The 22,143-nt window shown below is 42.3% G+C and overlaps 1 pseudogene; it reads left to right on the top strand.

Moving 5' to 3' along the window:
• On the top strand, positions 17,390-18,956 carry ASS1P12 (argininosuccinate synthetase 1 pseudogene 12; annotated as a pseudogene).

The following is a 22,143-nucleotide window of genomic DNA, read 5'->3' on the forward strand; positions in this document are numbered from 1 at the left end:
AAGCCTGGAGATGTAAGCCCTCCAAGAGGAATCGCTGAGAGGTTCCCAGTTATGCCAAAATGCTGCACACGCCATGCCTGGCACAGAAACAGCAGACCTAGGACCGGAAGGTGCGGTGCAAGACGGCTCAGTAATAATCAGAACAGACTGAGAACCAATGCCTGGGGCTTCCACCCCAATGTCCTAAAGATGTGTGAGACCTCCTTTTTACCAACCTGGAATGAGAAAGTCCATTAAAAAAATTAAGTGAATTCCCACCAATCTAACAAGATGGGGTCCAGAGTCAAAATTCAGGCAAGGAACAGAGAGTTTTAAGTGTGATATTGCATGCATACCTGAGTATTCACTGTACATATGTTTCGCATATTCACTAAGTTTTTTTTAAAAAGTGAATTCAATAAAATATTAGTGCCTAAACAACTTGCCTACTTTCCTCTCTGTCGCTTTTTTCAAATTTGTGAAAGATGAAGCCTCTTGAGTTCAAATGTACATCCCTGGTCCCATCAGCCAAAGCCAGTGCAGGAGAGAGATGCCTCTGGTGTGCTGGGCTTGCCCCTCCAGGGTCCTCTTAAGGGCTGTGAGCAGGGCAGGCCCATATGGACATGTCTGGGACAAGGTGTTAAGGCAGCCGCCTGAGTCGGAAAAGAGTCTGGCTAAGAGCCAGACAGCCTAAAATGAGAGCAGGAAGAATGTTGTGATACCAGATATGTGATGACAAAAGCTTACAGAAAACTGGAAGAAATGCAGAGTAGAATCAAAACGGCAAAAAATTAAATCAATAATGTTTGGACAAATTTGAGATGCTTTCCCAGAAAGCTAAAGAAATAGAACAGAGATAAAATTATGAGAAAGAAAATAGATACCGAAAACAGACTGACGATCTAACATATGAAGAACGTATGTGCCTAAAGACCAAAACAAATAGAAAAGACAGAACAATCATATAAAGAAAGAGAAAAAAACCTGCCTGAACTAAAAAAGAAAGAATTACATCCTTAGATGAAAAAGACTCATTAGGAGCCAGGTGGAATTAAATGGCAAAAGACCAGCTTCCAGACATACCAAGATGCAAATAATGAACTCTAAGGTAAGAAATTAATCCTGGAAGCATCAAAGCAGCAAAAACAAAATTACCTACAAAGAAGAAAAGTCAGGCTAACCTTTGCCCACAACACAAAAGCTAGAATTTTAAGAGGGAAAGATATAATCCAACAGTTCCCCACCAGTTAAGCTGTGTTTCCCATGAAAAGCAACTTGTGCATGCTCAGACGTGCAAGGCCTTGGGGTTCACCACCACGCAACCTTCCAGGGAAACTCCTGACAGGCCTCGCTCCAGCCACAGATGGAAACCAGAGCATGGATGTTATGGAATAAAAAGACCGCAGTGAGCACTACAATCCTGTAAATGTAACCGTAAGTTCAAATTATTACAGATATTGCTATTTTAAAAGTCACTCTTTTTTTTCTGAGACAGGGTATCGCTCTGTCACCCAGGGCTGTAGTGCAGTGGCACGATCATGGCTCACTGCAGCCTTGACCTCCTGGGCTCAAGCCATCCTCCCACCTCAGTCTCCCAAATAGCTGGGACTAGAGTTGTGTGCCACCACACCTGGCTAATTTTGTATTTTTTGTAGATACGGGGTTTCACCATGTTGCCCAGGCTGGTCTCAAATTCCTGAGCTCAAGGGATTCACCCACCTCAGCCTCCCAAAGTGCTGGGATTGCAGGCATGAGCCACTGCACCCAGCCAAAAGTCACAAGAGAAGATACAGAGCATAAAAGAAATAGACATACACACAGATTAAATTCTGAATAATCTAGTAAGTCTTCTCCTAGGGCTGGCGACTGTCATGAACACCAGCCCTCTCACTGGGACTACTTTCAGGAAGTAGGCGCTAGGGCTAGGTGAACATGTTTTAGAGTAATTCCATTAAGATATAATAATAGTGAATTTGTGGAAAATTTACATTTATTAAGAGGGTAGGGACAGAGGATCTATACTTTAGAAGATGCCTACTGTCTGAAAAGATAGAGCCAACAGAGGCACTCCACATGTTCTACTGTGTGGAATGGCCCTTTCCTTAGACAGCTTGGGCTGGTGTAACAAAATGCCATAAACTGGGTGGCGCAAACAACACATGTATTTCTCATAGTTCTGGGGGCTGGGAAGTCTAAGATCAAGGTACCAGCAGATTCCATTGTTGGTGAGAGCTCTCTTCCCGGCTCGTAGACAGCCGCCTTCTCAGTGTGTGCTCACCTGGCCTTTCCTTGGTATGGAAAGAAACAGAACTCTGTCTTCCTCTTTTTATTTATTTATTTATTTATTTATTTTTGAAATGGAGTCTTGCTCTGTCACCCACGCTGGAGTGCAGTGGCACCATCTCGGCTCACTGCAACCTCTGCCTCCCGGGTTCAAGCACTTCTCCCTGCCTCAGACTCCTGAGTAGCTGGGATTACAGGCGCCCACCACCACACCCAGCTAATTTTTGTATTTTAATAGAGACAGGGTTTTACCATGTTGGCCAGGCTGCTCTCGAACTCCTGACCTCAGGTGATCTGCCCTCCTCGGCCTCCCAAAGTGCTGGGATTACAGGTGTGAGCCACCACACCAGCCTGCCTTCCTCTTTTTATAAGGACATTAATTGCATCATGAAGATCCCCCCCTCATGACCTAATCTAAACCTAATCACCTCCCAAAGGCCCCGCCTCCAAATACCATCACACTGGGGGTTAGGGCTTCAACACAGAAATGTTGCGGGGACACATTCAGCCCATAGCAGCCCTCCTCCTTCCCATCAGAGGGCAGCCTGCAGTGCTGCATCAGTGGGACCTGCTGCCCACACCACTGTCCTCTGCAGTCCCCCACAACGTGGACCAGCACAGCTTTGATGGAGCCTACACGGGACAACTTCCTGGCGGCTCAGGTCCAGACACCAGACAGCTCTAGCTCCTGCGCCCCCTCCCTCCTGGCCTCACACAGCCCTGAGCCCGGTCTGTCAACTTTGAGTCAAATGTCAGGTAGCGTTTCAGGCCCAGGGGAAGTGACCCTGAGAAGATGGAGGCTGACCGCCCAGATCCCTCCTGGGAGGAAGGGAAGCGGAATGGGCTGGGGAGGGGTGGGAGGGCTGGCAGGTCATTCCTAGGTGTGCTCCATTTCCCTGCAGGAAGAGAAAAATCCCACTCAGGCAGCTGCACACGTGGCACACTCACCTGTGAGCAGCCTCAATTGCCTCCAAGCTTAGAGCTGGGGGAGCTAATGGAGGAAAAGGAGAAGAAGGAAGTTAGGCTGAATGGGTTCCCCCATGAATGGGTTTCTCAAAGTGGGAGGGGAGGTGAAGAAGAGGGGAGGGCAGAGCAAGGGGCTGAGGACAGTGGGTGATGCACATAGCCTACAAGTGTGTGCCCATTTCTGCATACAGTATGCGCCAAATATGTTTACATTCAATCCATTTTGTACACTGACTGGATGAGTTTGGTTTACATTATAATTTGGGGTTATCCGTGGCCATATAGTTATCTCACCATATTACTTATTGAATTGTGTTTAGGTTTCAGGGGGCAAAACTGCCAATGATTATTTCATTTTTTAATCTATTATAGAAGAGATCAGGTGTATGTTTTTATATAAATGTTAATTACAATTCGCCTTTAAGGATGGTCTCAGAAGTTTTCTGTGAATCATTTACATCACCGAACATACAGGCTATTCATTATTCCCCTTCATAAAAACTACTATTAAAATAGCATAATGCCAGCCTCGGCAACATGGCAAAATGCTGTCTCTATTAAAAAAAAAAAAAAAAAAAAAAAAACACGATTTAGCCAGGCATGGTGATGTGTGCCTGTAGTCCCAGATGCTCAGGAGGCTGAGGTGGGACAATCACGTAAGCCCAGGAGCTCAAGGATGCAGTGAATTTTGATTGCACCACTGCACTCCAGCCTGGGGGACAGAGTAAAACTCTGTCTTAAAAATAATAATAATAATATAATGTGTCTAAAGAGTATTTCACAAATGTTAGAGACAGTAAACTAAAAAAAGATCTACCGTGTGCTACAAGATAGGAACTAACAGGATTTTTAGTGCTAGAAAAATTCTTATCTTCTCCTTGGGTGTCAGATGCTGGAGAACAGTTAGTTCAATCAAAGCAAATGCATTTGTCTTAGACACTTTTTTTGAACCTTCAAAATCTAGCTAACAAGCACTTTACTGATAAGCTGGCTTCTATTTTTAAAGGGGAAAATTGTATTTTGCTTTTCCAATTTTCTTTCTTCTTAAAGAATTTAGGTGATTTTCTTCCACACCCCAGTTGACATAATTTGAGAATAACACAACTCCAGGGTACAGGTAATTTCCATGCTCTGTAATCCATTCCAGAGCATTAAACTAGGGAACAATTTCCTTCGTTTAATAAAATTCACATATCCCTGAATAGAAAAAAACAAAAAATAAGAAATCAAGCCTGTTACAAATATAGAATAAGTTTTATAATCAAGACAGGAATAACCAATATTACAGCTATTATTTAACATTGCTCTGAATATTTTAACAAATAGGGGTGGGGAGAAGGCAATAAAAATAAATAAGTAAATCTATCAGAAAGGGGTAAGAATTACCGAATGACAATCCACGTACAAACTTCAGTAAATCAACTGCCAAACTATCAGAACTCATCAAAACATTTGCTAAGGAGCTGGTTATACAATAAACTACCCAAATCACTAACTTTGCTATATATGAACAATAAATCAAATATGATGAATATTATGAAAAATATACATCCCACCACTTTAATAGCAACATGATCTGTTTATATATAAAGAATAACCATTAACAAGAAATGTGGAGGGTATAGATTGAAAGAAAACTACAAAACTGTGCTGTAAGACATAAAGATTTGAACCAAATAGTTTCCAGCGAAGTGCAAGGGTTGTACAACTGAAGTTCCCCAGGCCCACGGAGACCCCATTCAAGGCCAAAGGCAGTGACGACGTAATGCCAAACATAGAGAGCTGGGCTTTCTGCAGGATCCCAGTGATCAGCCACTGGACGAAGGGAGGACACTATGCTGAAAAGCTCACCTGGTCCATTTGTTGTCATGTTTTCATGGTAATGAGACTTCACACAAAAGAATATAAACGAGTGGAGCTGTGCTATCTTCATAGATTTCAGGTTGCCTGGGGTAAGAGTATTTGCCTCTGTGTTATACTGTAACTGAAGGTAATGCTTGCAGCTATAAAGATGAACCCCATTTTCTCAATAGTAGAACAAAATGAAAATTACTTTCTCACTTAACTAAAAGTCTAATCATTGCCTCTTTGTGCACATTAAAATTTAAAAAAAAAAGTCTGATTAGCCTTGGATAGACACGAAGGTCAGGAACCAGGCTGATGGAGCCCTGCTGTCTTCAATACAGGTTTTTCAGGGTGCCCTGAACTTTGACATCCCACCAACAGATGGGGAAAGAGGAAGAAGGATGTCGTTCATGGACCAGATCTGAATGAGATGCCTTCCCTTCTGCTCACATTCCTCTGAATGCACTCAGTCTCAAGGCCAAACTATCCGCAAGTGGGGAGCCTGGGAAGTGGATCCACGCTGCTTCCACATCCCTCAAGGAAAGAATGGTCAACCGGGTCTACTCAATAGGTGAAGAAGGAACTACCCAATTATCTTTTTCATGTAACTGGAGCTTGCCCTTTACACATTTGATTTTACATATTTTGATGAAACTTTTCCTAAGATGCATAACAATTTCCCTGTTTCAACACAGTGGGCAATTGTAAGTCTTCTCCTAGGGCTGGCGACTGTCGTGAACACCAGCCTTCTCACTGGGACTACCTTCAGGAACTCTTGAGGATTTGCTGATCCTCCGCCTCTATACTAAAAGATCCTTGGTTACTGTCTTTTTAAAACTCTTTTGAAATGTTTTTTTCTGAATCCTTCCTCAGAGTCAGATGGCATCTGTCACTTCTTCCTGCGTCCACAAGCATACTTCTAACAGTTCCTTTCCCTCTAATGTCTTGCTTCTACTAAGGGTTTATGCTAAGGTGTACAAATTGCATCTAAAGTTAAAAAAAAAAAAAAGCAGGGGGGCCAGTCATAGTGGCTGTAATCCCAGCACTTTGGGAGGCTGAGGCAGGAGGATCACTTGAGCCCAGGAGTTCAAGACCAGCCTGGGCAACATGGCAAAACGCTGTCTCTACCAAAAATACAAAAATTAGCCAGGCATGGCAGCATGCTCCTGTGGTCTCAGCTACTCAGGAGGCTGAGGCAGGAGGATTGCTTAAACCCAGGAGGTCGAGGCTGCAGTGAGCCATAATCTCACCAGTGCACTCCAGCTTGGGAGACAGAATGAGACCTCGTCTCTAAAAAAAAATAAAATAAATTTAAATTTTAAAACAAAATTGCCTCAGACTGAAATCCATTCCTGAGTAAAGAGTATGAGCTTTTATTACCTGGACTTTCTAGCGTTGATTTTGGTTATCTAATATCCTTTTTAAAATTTTTTCTTCCAAGTTTTTGTTTCAGCAGTTGCAAATAAACAATTATATTGGCTGGGTACAGTGGCTCTCACCTGTAATCTTAGCACTTTGGGAGGCCAAGGAAGGCAGATTGCTTGAGCTCAGGAGTTCAAGACCAACCTGGGCAACATGGTGAAACAAAAAAATACAAAACTTAGCTGGGCATGGTGACATGTGCCTGTAGTCCCAGCTACTCTGCACTCCAGCCTGGGCGACACAGTGAGACCTTGTCTCAAAAAAATAAAATAATTACGTTGGCTTATGATATAATCCTAGAAAGCAGAACAAAATTATACCTAAAAGAGAATGGCCTTTCCAATACAGTACTGACTAACAAGGAAAGAGGGCTACAATATATTGTTATGTAGGAAAGAGCCAGCTGCAAAATGACATTATAGTGGAATTCCATTTGTTAAATTTTTTTTAAAAAGCATACATTTGCAATGTGAGTAGTTATCTCTGAGATGTAGGATTACTGAGAACTTTTACATACTATGCCATTTATTTATGTATTGTTTGGCTGTTTTATAAGAAGCAGGTATTTTACGTAAGCATAAAAAAACAAGAAGAAGCTGGGTGTGGTGGTGTGTGTGTCTCTAGTCCCAGGTACCTGGAAGGCTGAGGTAGAAGGATCACGTGAGCCCAGAAGTTCAAGGTCAGCCTGGAAAATACGTGGGACCCTGTCTCCATAAATCAATAAATTAAAATATTTTAAAACACAGTTCACAGTGTCTTCTCAGAGCATGAGCTCCTGGAAGACATGGATGACAGATGAGCACTCCTCTATATACTGCCTGCTGCCACAAATAAGAAGCCTCTCAAAATTAAAACACTGATTTTTATAGACCAAAAAATAAAAGAAAAGAAAAAACTAGAGGATAAACTCAAAGTTGATCTCAGACAGAGCAAGTTCCAGGAAAGTGTTGCTGGCTTCCACCTTGGAGGACTTCTACCTGGAAATCTGCTCGGTACCATATTAAGCAGTTTCAAGAGCCCATCAAAGCCCTGGCAAGTTCATAGTAACCAGAGGCACATTCTAACCTATACCAGAACTATGGTGAAAATGTACTTTGCTGGGAAAGGATTCTGAGTTACTAAGGCTTCTCAGGAACTACTCCATTCTCTAATGAAAACACTGATCATCTAATGTGGGCAATTAACATGTATTTAGTAGGTTTTTGCCTCCTGTTGCATACTGAGGAGATCCCACAAGACACCTTCTGCCCAGCATTTTCTTGCTACCATGAATGAATCTATAAAATATTCACATGAATACAAACATGAACTCCAGAATACCCCAGTTTAAATGAAAATGCATTCACTGGTAAAAGTAATGTATTCATTAAATAGTGCCACAAAACTGCTGCTTAACAGATTCTTCTGAAACTGAAGGTCATGCAACAAGAAGCATTTATTCTCGTGTTCATAAGTCTGCAGGTCTGCTGGGACAGCTCAGCCTCAGGCTGTGGGTGTGCGAGTCAGTTGGGGCAGCCCTGCTCCATATGCCACACTTTCTATTGGGAACAGCAGAAAACCAAGAAATGTTCATGGCAATGCAGAAGCACAAGAGGGCAAGCCAAAACCCACAAGCATATTTTAAGCCTTTGCCAACATCATGTTCGCTGACATCCCATTGGCCAAAGCAAATCACATGGCCAATCCCAACATCAATAGGACAGGGAAATATAGTCCCTCCCTAGTGAGAGGAAACAAAAAGTCCCATAGCAAAAGGCAGGGACATAGGAGGGTTGAAGAATTGTGAACAAAAATACAATCTGTCAAAGGTAACATTAACTCACTGTTAACCAGTTATACGGTGACATTTCTGTTTTAATATTTAACTGGTCTTAAAAGTAAGACACTAAAGGAAGAGGACAGAAGGAAGGGGAAAAGTGAGATCTAGAAATGTGTAGCATTTTGGACATTGCCTAGGACAGAGGAAGGGCTAGGGAAGGAGCCACAGTGGCAGTCCCTGGAAAAGAACATCATAAAGCACAGCATCTTCACAATTGAAATTTGCTGACGAAAATCAGAAATGAAGAGCAAGAAGATAAGACAGCAGGAACACATAGATACATGAAAGATACAAGAAGTCCAAGAGAATGACAAGTTTTAAGAAAAATCACATACAGAAATGAAGCTGTTCCAGCATAATGTGTTTCTCCATTTGAAACTGGCATTTTTTGTATAATCATCCCTAGTCTATTACCTGTGGTTTACTATTTATAATCTGAAAGAGCTGTGAGCCACTAGAACAATTTCTCTGCAAGAATCCGCTCTACAAGAAAAAAGAAAAGTGTGTGTGTATGGGTGTGTGTGTGTGTACACACACAGAATTTTTTTTCAAATCAGGCAGATCAGAACCTCCCTGGAATTTGAACTCCAAATGTAGGGAAACAAAATTGAAAATAGTAAGAGCTCACTCATCCTTATGTTTGCCCTAAAGAGGCTGTATTAGTCCATTTTCACACTGCTGTAAAGAACTGCCCAAGATTGGATAATTTAAAAAGGAAAGAGGTTTAATTGATCATAGTTCAGCATGGTTGTGGAGGCCTCAGGAAACTTACAATCATGGTATGGTGGAAGGCAAAGGGAAAGCAAGGCACCTTCTTCACAAGCCAGCAGGAAGGAGAAGTGCCAAGTGAAGGGGGATGAGTCCCTTATAAAACCATCAGATCTCATGAGAACTCACTATCATGAGAACAGCATGGGGGAAACTGCCCCTATGATTCAATTACCTCCACCTGGTCTCTCCCTTGACACGTAGGGATTGTGGGGATTATAATTCAAGATGAGATTTGGGTGGGGACACAAAGCCTAACCATACCAGAAGCTGTCCCATGATTACTGATCCCCAGGTCCTCAGAGTTGCTCCAAATTTCTGATCCCTCCAAAGCCCCTCTCTGAATTCCCTCTCTTCCACATTTCCTTTAACTCTATGAACCATCCCTTCATCCTACCAATACATTTTCAACTTAAATAAGCCAAAATTGAATTCTGTGGCTTTCAACCACAGAACTGTATCAGGTGCAAGTCCCTTTCCCATTTTCTATTCCCCAAGGAGACAAGAAAGAGTACTAAAGATGCCTTAAAGCAAATAACAAGGCATGCCATCACTCAAGAATTTAGTATCTAAATCCACTTCATGAAAATGACTGTTACTATGGCAACTTTTCCATGTGTATTATTCAGTGACTTTATAATGTATTAACATTTTAAGGTAAACTAAACTGTATTGGCTTATTTGGCCTTGAATCCTTTTTAAATATAGATTGTTTTATCTCATAAAAGTTATCAGAGCCTCTAGTCCACGATGGCAGAGTGAGCCAGCAAATTTACTTTTCCCTCTAAAATTGCTATGAAAATGACACTATAAAGGAAAGCCCTCCATGCTTACCTCCCACCACCACCATTCTAGACACACACACACACACACACACACACACACACACACAAAACCCACTACAGTCCCAGCTCTTGGCATCAAAATCTGTTCTGATAATCCAACACGGTTAATATGGGCAATACCCCTCCCATTAATTGATAAATTAAAAATAATCAAAGGAAAATCCTAATTTTTTAAAATAGAATCTGACAAGTTGCATAGAACATTCATCTGGAAGAGTAACTATTTGAGCTAATAAAATGTTTTCTGTTTGTTTTGTTTGTTTTGAGATAGAGTCTTGCTGTGTTGCCAGGCTGGAGTTCAGTGGTGCAATCTCGGCTCACTGCAACCTCCGACTCCCGGGTTCAAGCGATTCTCCTGCCTCTGCCTCCCAAGTAGCTGGGACTATAGGCCATGCCCAGCTAATTTTTGTATTTTTAGTAGAAGCGGTGTTTCACTATGTTGGCCAGGCTGGTCTTGAACTCCTGACCTTGTGATCCACCCGCCTCAGCCTCCCAAAGTGCTGGGATTACAGATGTAAGCCACCGCACCCGGCTGAGCTAATAAAATGTTTAAGAAAAAGAACACTGTTCAGATAGGCCGTGACCATAGAGAAAGTCAAGGTAGGTCACAGTAGAATAGTCCAAAGAGCCCTGGGAGGTGGAACATAAGGAGGGATGCTCCTATTTCTCATCATTATGAGTCACATGAACTTCCTTATTATCTGCATCCAGGACAAATTCAGCCAGAATCTGGGGCAACAAATTGTTCACAAGACCATATGGGACTACTGAGCACCATGTAACTCATTCATGTGCCACATAATTCTGAGATTCACCCACTCACTACGTCAGAGAAGAGCTTCATCCTTCCTGAAGAAACCAATCAGGCAGTCAAAGAAGATGAATAAAGGAGGAAATAAAGAAAGAGGTGAATCCATATATCCTGGTGTCAGTGATGTTTTTACATCTTCAGAGAACCTAAAGAGAATTTTTAATTCCAGCAATAGAGAAAAACAGAAGATTTTGCATAATGCAGGTCCAAAAAGAAGTGTAAAAAAAAAAAAAGTTTGAACTACAAGTAGCAATCCTATTAATTCTAGAATTTCCACACAATGCAAGACCTAGAAGGCATGATACTGGGCACCAAAGAAATGGAAAGGTGATGAGTAGGAAAGGTACAGAAGAAGCTATAGTTGAGAAGATAGAGAATGAAGCATGCACCTGCTTGCCTCATCTTCATGGGGGTACTGTATTAGCTTGGCTAGGTTAAACGGAAGTAGGAAAGACAAAAGTAGGGAGGAAGAGGAGAAGAAAAGGAAGGGAGAATAAAGAATTTCTACAAGGCAGGCGTGTTGGCTCATGCCTGTACTCCCAGCTACTCAGAGGCTGAGGCAGGAAGATTGAGCCTAGGAGTTCAAGACAAGTCTGGGCAACATAGTGAGATCCTATACCTAAAGTTAAAAAAAATAATTTCTAGAAAATTATAGTAATAAAAATTGTGATATGAGTTGAGTAATTGCTCAATGGAACCAGAACAGGGAGTCCATAACAGACTCATATGTATTGGAATTTAACTTACCATAAACATGGCATTTCAAAGGAATGAGAAATGAAGCCTAGTTTAATAAATAAGTTGTAGCAATTAGGTAAAAATTGAAAAAAATAAAGATGCATCCCTACCTCACACTATACCATCCAAAAAAAAAATGCCAGATATGATAAAGACTTCAAGTCAAAAGACAAAAGTATAAAATTACCAGAAAAAAATGTAAGAACATATGGACAGGAAAGGCCTATTTAAGCAAAACACAAACATCCAGAAACAATGAAGAAAAAAAGGAAAGAATGCCTAATTTAGCTACATCAGGGTCCCCAACCCCCAGACTGCGGGTCTGTGGCCTATCAGGAACTGGGTCTCACAGAAAGAGGTGAGGCAATGGAGCATTACTGCCTGATGTCAGATAAGCAGCCACATTAGATTCTCATGAGAGTGTGAACCCTATTGTGAACTGTGCATGCGAGGGATCTAGGTTGTGTGCTCCTCATGAGAACCTAATATCTGATGATCTGAGGTGGAACAGTTTTATTCTGAAACCATCCATACCCCACCAACCATCACCACCAGTCCATGGAAAAACTGTCTTCCACAAAACTGGTTCCTGGTAGGAATAAAAAGGTTGGGGACCACAGAGTTGCATAATTGTTAAACTTTGTATAATGAGAGAAATCTTCAAATGAAGTTAAAAGATTGAAACATCTAAATCTGTAACATATTTGCAACATAAGTAATAAATAAGTCAAAAAGAAAAAGAGAGGCAACTCGATTTTTTTTCTTGTGCAAAGGAACATTGGCAGAGACTTTTCAACATCTCCAATTTTCATTTTGTCCTCCTTCCATAATAATAAAAATTTTAATTGGACATGTAGTTGCCCAAAATAAAGTGCATATTTCACAGCCTCCCATAAAGCTTAGTCACATGAGGCCATGTGGAGTCACATGGGCTTTCTGCCCACAGAAAAGTAAGGAGAGAGTCATGCGGAATTTCCAAGAACCTTCTTAACAGATAATCTGTGTGAGCCCTTGACACCCTTCATCTGTTCATTCATCCTGCTACCCAGAGGGCAGATGCTTCTGTCTTGGACCTTGAGGGCTGGAAGAAGAATGCAGTAGGATACAAGGCTGCAGAGGGGGCAACAGTAGACCAGGGAGACCAGGTATGTCAAATTGAGCGATTCGGACCAGACCCTGTAATCAGAAGTCTCACTCAATCCTGTTACACCCAATGTCTCCATTTTTTTTTTTTTTTTTTTTTTGAGACCGAGTTTCGCTCTTGTCACCCAGGCTGGAGTGCAGTGGCACAATCTCAGCTCACTGCAACCTCTGCCTCCCAGGTTCAAGAGATTCTCCTGCCTCGGCCTCCCAAGTAGCTGGGATTACAGATGCCTACAACCACACCCAGCTAATTTTTGTATTTTTAGCAGAGACAAGGCTGGGCATGGTGGATGTGGTTCATGCCTGTAATCCCAGCACTTTGGGAGGCCAAGGCAGGTGAATCACCTGAGATCAGGAGTTTGAGACCAGCCTGGCCAACATGGTGAAACCCTGTCTCTACCAATGTCCCCTTTCTATTGAAAGATTCTGTAGCTTGCCCTTTACTATCCTGAAGTGAAAATCATGGATCACGTAACCTATCTGCACTCCTAATTTTTAATAATACAATATCTTTAATATAAAGGAAAAAAAGCAAAGTAATTAAATAAAATACTATGCTCAGACACACCCATACCTACTAGAAAAGAAATCCTACTAATCTCCAAACGGCTGTCCCCATCCCCATAAACACTTCTGGAAGCAATAAAGAGCCAAGGAAAGCTTTTCAAGCAGAAAATAACTTCATATCTTAGCCCAAGTTCCCTAGAAAACAGAGCTTAAGGGTAGGATTAAGGTGCTAAAATTTTATTGGGAAGTAAAGCCTCAGAGCAGTGAAGTGAAGGAAGAATTGAAAACAAATGCAACTGCTTACTGCTTTATGACAAGCCATAAAGAGGCAAAGCCCATTTTAGCTTTACTCAAAAGCTAAAAAGTACACTGCTTGGCCACACAAGATGTCCCTGGACAGGGTATGTGGGAAAACCGTGCCCCGGACAAGTCCATGGAAGGGACTCCTTTCTCCTGCTCGTCAAAGTTGCCCCAGAGGATTTAACCCTGACTTCTTTACCCAGAAGTAGGGGAGAAGCCAAGAGTATGGTTGGTCGGCCTCAAGTGGAATTGCAGGGGCTTGCATAGAACAATAATCCAAGGGTCTGTGAAATTGATCAAGCTGAGAGAATCTACAGAGGTAGGGAAGATGTGTCTGATATACATGGTTAGATTTGCGTTTTCAAAAAAATAATCCCTAGAAGCTGTAGAGTGTGGATTTGAAGGGGGTAGAAGGTGGCAACAGCAGGGAGACAAAAAGACCAGATAAGAAGCTGGGCCAGGCATGGTGGCTCATGTGGGTAATCCCAGCACTTTGGGAGGCCACAGTGGGTGGATCACCTGAGGTCAGAAGTTCGAGACCAGCCTGGCCAACATGGTGAAACCCCTGTCTCTACTAAAAATACAAAAATTAGCTGGGCATGGTGACACACATCTGTAATCCCAGCTACTTGGGAGGCTGAGGCAGGAGAATCACTTGAACTGGGGAGGCAGATGTTGCAGTGAGCTGAGATCACACCACTGCACTCCAGCCTAGGTGACAGAGTGACTCTGTCTCAAATAATAATATTAATTAATTAATAATTCAGCAATCACTGCAGAAACTCAACCCTGTCAACTGAGCCAAATTTCTGAAAAGAAAATAAATTGTTACTTATTTTTAAATAAAAAAGAACCTTATTTACTGTTGGGAGAAAAAGCTGAGTGTCCGGAGAGAAGCTGAGGCAGGGCTTGCATGTCTGCTAGACTTGCTTGGCTCCTTGCTTCTAGCACTCCCATTATCTCAAGCCGCCATATGTTTTTCATTCACTTGATACACTGTTTCCTTTCAACCCCCACATCCTCACCACCTGTTTCTTTGTTTGAGCACCACTAAATAGTGTGGGCTCCCAAAGCTCTGGGCCTTCACAGGCTCCACACTCAGGATGGCCCCCTGGTCCGACTTTCTCTCTCAAACTGTCTTTTTCTCATTCCTTTGACTCAGCAGGACTTCGTTGCCCCCACGACCTGGTGTTGGGTCTGATCACCCCAACATTTACAGATAACAAGTAAAAAATAATCATAAGTAAACAGACAACATGCTGCTTAGAAATGGAAGAATCATGCTTAGAAATGGAAGAATTGTTCTTAGAAACACTGGAAAGGATATCATCAGGGTTTTCTAGCGCAGTCAGTAAAGTTCGGATCAGAAAACTTCTCCTACTCCACATGCCCTTATCACACTCCCACTCAGTGTGTAAATGATTGCCTGAAGTGTGGACGGTGTGTGCCTGTATATCAAAGATATGAAATAAACATCAGTAGGATCCTTATGATGCACTCAGAGAGCAGGGGTAGTGTCTTTAGCTAGAGGAGTAGCTGTAACTTTGTCTCCGTTTGTTATGTTTGAAGGCATGTAGTTTGCTCTCTGATATACCAGAATCCAATTAACTCAAATGGTTTATAGACCACACAAATACGAGGCAGTACCTGCTGTCCAATGCCTACCACGCTGCAGGTACTCAACAAATGTTAACAAAATCCATTTGTTTATTTATGCAACCAACATTTATTGAATGCCAAATATGTGCCAAACACTGTTCTAGACATTGGAGATAGAGCAAACACATTTTTAAAATTTCTCTTTTTTGTATTATAAAAGTATTAAAGATTGTGCACAAAATGAAGCAATACAGGGATATATTAAAAAAAAAAAAAACTTAATCAGCCCCGTCCATACCCCACATCTTCCAAACCTACCCCTCTGAGGTAACCAATTACTTTTGTTTTTGTTTTTTGAGACAGGCTCTGGCTGTACTGCCCAGGCTAAAGTGGAGTGGCATGAACATGGCTCACTGCAGCCTTGATCGCCTGGGTTCAAGTGATCCTCCCACTTCAACCTCCTGAGTAAGCTGGGGCTATAGGCACATGCCATCACACTCACCTAGTTTTTTAATTTTTGTAGAGACTGGGTCTATGTTGCCCAGGCTGGACTTGAACTCCTGGCCTCAAGAGTTCCTCTTGCCTCCGCCTCTCAAAGTGCTGGGATTACAAGCATAAACCATCATGCCTGGCCCAATGTATTTTTTTCTAATATTTTTAATTGACAAAAATTATATAATTTATTGTGTACAATATATTGTTTTGAAATATGTATACACTGTGGGGTAGCTAAATTGAGCTTATTAACGTATTACTTCACATACCTATTTTTTTTGAGGTAAGAACACTTAAAATCTAATCTTTTAGCAATTTTCAAGAACACAATGCATTGATATTAACTGTATTCACCATACCGTACAATAGATCTCCTGAATTTATTCCTCCTAACTGAAATTTTGTATCCTTTGACCAACATCTCCCCAACGCCCAATTCTCAGCCTGATAACCACTATTCCACTCTCTGCTTCTATGAGTTCAACTTCTTTAGAATTCACGTACAAACGAGATTATGCAGTATTTGTCTCTCTGTATCTGACTTATTTCACTTAATATAATGTCCTCTGGATTCATCCAGGGTGTCACAAATGGCAGGATTTCCTTCCTTCTTGAAGCTGGATAGTATTCATATATAGCATTTACATTTTATTAGGTATTATAAGTAATCCAGAGATGATTTAAAGTATATGGGAGGGGGCTGGGCATGATGTCTCACACCTGTAATCACTGCATTTTGGGAGGCCGAGACGGGAGGATCACTTGGGACTAGGAGTTCAAGACCAGCCTGGCCAACATGGTGAAGCCCCGTCTTTATATAAAAAAATAAAAGTATATGGGAGGATGTGTGTAGGTTATATGCAAATACTGTTATCATTTTATATCAGGGACTTGAGCATCAGCAGATTTGGGTATCCGCAGGGTGTTCTGGAATTAATCCCCTACAGATCCCAAAAGATAACTGTGCTTGGTCACTTGTTTGTCTTTTTTTGACAAATGTCTATTCAAATCCTTTGACCATTTTTTAATTGCATTATTTGTTTTCTTACAATTGAGTTGTTTCAGTTCCTTATTATTTTAGATATTAATCCCTTATCAGATGTATGGTTTGCAAATATTTTCTCCCATTCTGTAGGTTGTCTCTTAACTGTGTAGATTATTTCCTTGGCTGTGCAGAAGCTTTTTAGTTTGATACAATCCCATTTGTCTATTATTACTTTTGTTGCCTGTGCTTTTGGGTTTATATTTAAAAATTCAGGCCTGGGTACCGTGGCTCATGCCTCTAATCCTAACACTTCAGGAGGCCAAGGCAGGAGGATCTCTTGAGGCCAGGAGTTTGAGACCATCCTGGGCAACATAGCAAGGCCTCGTCTTTAAAAAAAATTAGCTGGGTATAGTGGTGCGTGCCTGTATTCCTTATTACTTGGGAAACTAAGGCAGGAGGATCCCTTGAGCCCAGGAGTATGAGGCTGCAGTACAGCTATGCTCCTGCCACTGCACTCCAGCCTGGGCAACAGAGCAAGACCCTGTCTCTGAAAATAAATAAATAAATAAATTTTTAAAAATCTTTAAATAGATTTTATGTTTCCAAGTCATTAAAGAACATGAGATGTCTTTCCATTTGTTCAGATAACATTTATAATTTTAATTGAGCTTTTATAACTTTAAATAGGTCTTATATCTTATTAATTTTACTGTCAAGGTGAAACTATTTTGATTTCTGAAATTTGCTTTAAAGTAGTACTACAGTAGGTAAGGTGGAGAGGCAGGATGAAACAAGAAGGGCAGAATATTGACGATTGTTGAAGCTGGTTATGGGTACTATTCTCTGGGTTTTTGTGGATGGTTTGGTATTTTGAAATTATACTCCCTGCTCTGTCGCCTGCCACCGCTCCCTGAGCCCGAGTGGTTCACCGTACCATGAAGACAGATGGCAGATGCCAGGAACTCGAGCCTCCAATCCCAGATGCTATGTCCAGCAAAGGCTCAGTGGTTCTGGCCTACAGTGGCAGCCCGGACACCTCTTGCATCCTCGTGTGGCTGAAGGAACAAGGCTATGACATCATTGCCTACCTGGCCAACACTGGCCAGAAGGAAGACTTCGAGGAAGCCTGGAAGAAGGCACTGAAGCTTGGGACCAAAAAGGTGTTCATTGAGGATGCCAGCAGGGAGTTTGTGGAGGAGTTCATCTGGCCGGCCATCCAGTCCAGCGCACTGTATGAGAACCGCTACCTCCTGGGCACCTCTCTGGCCAGGCCCGGCATCGCCGGCAAACAAGTGGAAATCGCCAAGCAGGAGGAGGCCAAGTATGTGTTCCACGGCACCACGGGAAAAGGAAATGATCAGGTCCGGTTTGAGCTCACCTGCTATTTGCTGGCCCCCCAGATAAAGGTCACCGCTCCCTGGAGGATGCCCGAGTTCTACAACCGGTTCAAGGGCTGCAATGACCTGATGAAATAGGCAAAGCAACATCGGGTTCCCATTCCAGTCACTCCCCAGAGCCCGTGAAGCATAGACGAGAACCTCATGCACATCAGCTATGAGGCTGGAATCCTGGAACCCCAAGAACCAAGTGCCTCCAGGTCTCTACATGAAGACCCAGGACCCAGCCAAAGCCCTCAACACCCCTGACATTCTCGAGATCAAGTTCAAAAAAGGGGTCCCCGTGAAGGTGACCAACGTCAAGGATGGCACCACCCACCAGACCTCCTTGGAGCTTTTCGTGTACCTGAATGAAGTTGCAGGCAAGCACGGCGTGGGCCGTATTGACATCGTGGAGAACCGCTTCATTGGAATGAAGTCCTGAGGTATCTGCGAGGCCCCAGCAGGGACCATCCTTCACCACACTCATTTAGACATCAAGGCCTTCACCATGTACCGAGAAGTGCGCAAAATCAAACAAGGCCTGAGCTTGAAATTTGCTGAGCTGGTGTATACCGGTTTCTGGCATAGCCCTGAGTGTGAATTTGTCCGCCACTGTAATGCCAAGTCCCAGGAATGAGTGGAAGGGAAAGTGCAGGTGTCTGTCCTCAAGGGCCAGGTGTATATCCTCGGTCGGGAGTCCCCACTGTCTCTCTACAACGAGGAGCTGGTGAGCATGAACGTGCAGGGGGATTATGAGCCGATTGATGCCACGGGTTCATCAACGTCGATTCCCTCAGGCTGAAGGAATGTCATCTCCAGAGCAAGGTCACTGCCAAACAGACCCCTGTACAATGAGGAGCTGGGGCTTCCCCAATTTGCAGATTTTTTCCCCCAAGTACAGGTGCTAATTGTGATAATTTGTCATTGTGACTTGTTTTCTCCAGCTGGCAGCATAGTGGGTCTGCCAGGCCCCAGCTTTGTTCCCTGGTCGCCCTGAACCCTGCAAACGTCGTCATCGAAGGGAAGGGTGGGGGCAGCTGCGGTGGGGAGCTATAAAATGACAATTAAAAGATTTTTTTAAATTACACTCCTAAGTATTTTAAGCTTGTATAAAACTGTAGAAAATAAAATAGTTTTCTAATTTCCTTTCAAAGTACTTACTGCTAATACGGAGAGAAGTTGGTGCTTTTTGTATATTTATCTTGCATCTGCCCACTTTTCCAAAATGACCTACAATTCAAATAGTTTATTACTAAAGTCCCTCGAGTTTTCTAGGCAAACAATGAAGTCACATAGACAAACATAAATAGTTTTATTTCGTCTTCTTCAAAGTTTATGGCAATTATTTTCTTACCTTACTTTGACAATGTAACATAATAATAGCACATGGACATCCTTTTCTAATTTCTGATTTCAATGAAATGATTTCAGAGTTTTGCTATTTAGAACAATGTTTGCTATTGGGTTTAGAGATACAGTCCTTATCCTAGATAAGTAGTTTCCTTGTATTGTTACTTAGACTTGTTTTTAATAGAAAAGTCATCACACCCTATTGGCTTAGAATTTTTATTAGGAATGGCTATTAAATTTTATAAAATGTTCCTCCAGTGTATATTGACAGGATCATATGGTTTTTCCTTTATAGTATTATCATAATTCATTACTAACGGTAATAGATGTCTTGATAGTGAACCAGCCTGTACACCTGAAATATATAGAATAGGGCATAATTAAAATACTCTATAGCAGTATATTATTATTATATAACTTGATTTTTATTAATACTTTATTTAGAATTTTTGCATCTGTATTAATAAGTGTAAGGTTACATAAATAACCTAAGTGTTTTTTCTACTCTCGACTCCCGCAGAGTCACTCAACATTTGTGACACCGGATGTGTGGGTTTTTCCCCACACACCAAGACAGTTCTGCAGATGATTCTCCAGTGGACACCAGCTAGATGGCTGCCAATTCAATTTAACTCTGACACTATCCACCTGGAGATTGCATCCCACAGGTGAGGGCTCAGTCCCACAAGACTGCCCCCACCACTGCAGATGCTGGTTGCAAGCACAGATTGTGGCCTGTGCTTCTGACCAACCAGCTCTAAGTCACGGTTTCCACAACTCCCTCCTGGGATTCAATTAATTTGCTAAAGCAGCTTACAGAACTCAGGGAAACACTTACTTACATTGACCCATTTATTATAAAGGATACAGATGAACAGCCAGCTGGAAGAGATGCATACCACAAGGCATGTGGGAAGGGAAGCAGAGATTCCATGCCCTTCTGGGGTGCCACCCTCCAGGAAACTCCATATGTTCAGCTATCCAGAAGCTCTTCTGAACCCTGTCTTTTCGTTTTTATGAAGGCTTCATACCTGATTACATCACTACCCATTGGTGATCAACTCAACTTTCAGCCCCTCTTCTCTCCCTAGAGGCTGGAGGGTGGGGCTGGAAGTTGGAGCCCTCTAATCATGCCTTGGCCTTTCCAGTGACCAGCCCTCATCCTGAAGATCTCTAGGGGCTCCCAGCCACCAGTCACCTCATTGGCATATAAAAGATATTCTTACTACTCCAGAGATGCCAAGGGAGCTTTTTGCTAGTATCACAATAAGTAATCTCAAGAGAACAGGGACTTAACCTGTTTTGTTCCCTGCTATATTCCCTGCCCCTAGAACAGTAACAGACATTCTTAGTAGGTGCTCAATAAACATTTGCTGAATGCATGTGCAAGTGAAATTAGTCTATGATACCCTTTTCTTTGCATCCTCTGTACCTGATTGAACTATGAAAGCTGTGCTGGCTTTATTAAAGGAGCTTTCCATGCTGTTTTATGGGTTGTTGTTGTTGTTGTTGTTGTTGTTTTGTTTGTTTGTTTGTTTTTTCAGATGGAGTCTCGCTCTGTCGCCCAGGCTGGAGTGCAATGGTGTGATCTTGGCTCACTGAAACCTCCGCCTCCCAGGTTCAAGGGATTCTCTTGCCTTAGCCTCCCAAGGAGCTGGGATTACAGGTGCACAGCCACCATGCCCTGCTAATTTTTGTATTTTTAGTAGAGACAGGGTTTCACCATGTTGGCCAGGCTGGTTAGGAAGTCCTGACCTCAAGTGATCCACCCACCTCAGCCTCCCAAAGTGCTGGGATTACAGGTGTGAACCACCGCCCGGCCTGTTTTATGGTCTTGAGTCATTTAAATCCTTGCAGTGCAAAGAGCATGGACCAGTAACATCAGCATCACCGTCTGACAGCTTTTAAGAAATACAGAATTTCAGGTTCCACCTCAGACCTATTGAATCACAGTGTGCAGTTTAACAAGATTTCCAGGTGATTCCTATTGATGTTTGATATGTACTGGTTTAAATAACACTGTATTACCTGCTTTTTAAAAAATAGTCAGGTCACATTGAGCTGGGAAATCACCTGGCACCAGCTCTTTTTTAAGGATAGAGCTATAATCATTTCTCCAACCTCTTATGGTAATGAGTCTGTTCAAGTTTTCAGCTTCTCTTTATGTCACTTTTATTCATTTATATTTTGCTAGGAAATCCTCAATATTTCCAAATAGTTAGAGTTCAAGTTAACACTCTCTCTCTCTCTTTTTTTTTTTTTTTTTTTGAGACAGTTTTGTTGCCCAGGCTGGAGTGCAGTGGTGTGATCACAGCTCACTGCAGCCTTGACCTGCTGGGCTCAAGCAATCCTCCCACCTCAGCCTCCCAAGTAGCTGGGACTACAGGTGTATGCCATCTAAACCCAGCTAATTTTTAAATTTTTTATAGAGATGGGGGTTCTCCCTATGTTGCCCAGGATGGTCTCAAACTCCTGGGCTGAAGCAATCTGCCCACCTCAGCCTCACCAAGTGTTGGGATTACAGATGTGAGCCACTATGCCCAACCAACATTCTCTTTAAATCATTTTTAACCTTTTCTATTTCTGTGGTTATGCGTGGGGAAAAGAAAGAGAGATCAGATTGTTACTGTGTCTATGTAGAAAAGGAAGACATAAGAAACTCCATTTTGATCTGTACGAAGAAAAATTGTTTTGCTTTGAGATGCCGTTAACCTGTAACTTTAGCCCCAACCCTGTGCTCACAGAAACATGTGCTGTATTGAATCAAACTTTAACGGATTTAGGGCTGTGCGGGATGTTTCTTGTTAACAATATGTTTGCAGGCAGTATGCTTGGTAAAATTCATCACCATTCTCCATTCTCGATTAACCAGGGACACAATGCACTGCGGAAAGCCGCAGGGACCTCTG

Source organism: Homo sapiens, chromosome 9 (genome assembly GCF_000001405.40).
Source record: "Homo sapiens chromosome 9, GRCh38.p14 Primary Assembly".
Taxonomy (NCBI): domain Eukaryota; kingdom Metazoa; phylum Chordata; class Mammalia; order Primates; family Hominidae; genus Homo; species Homo sapiens.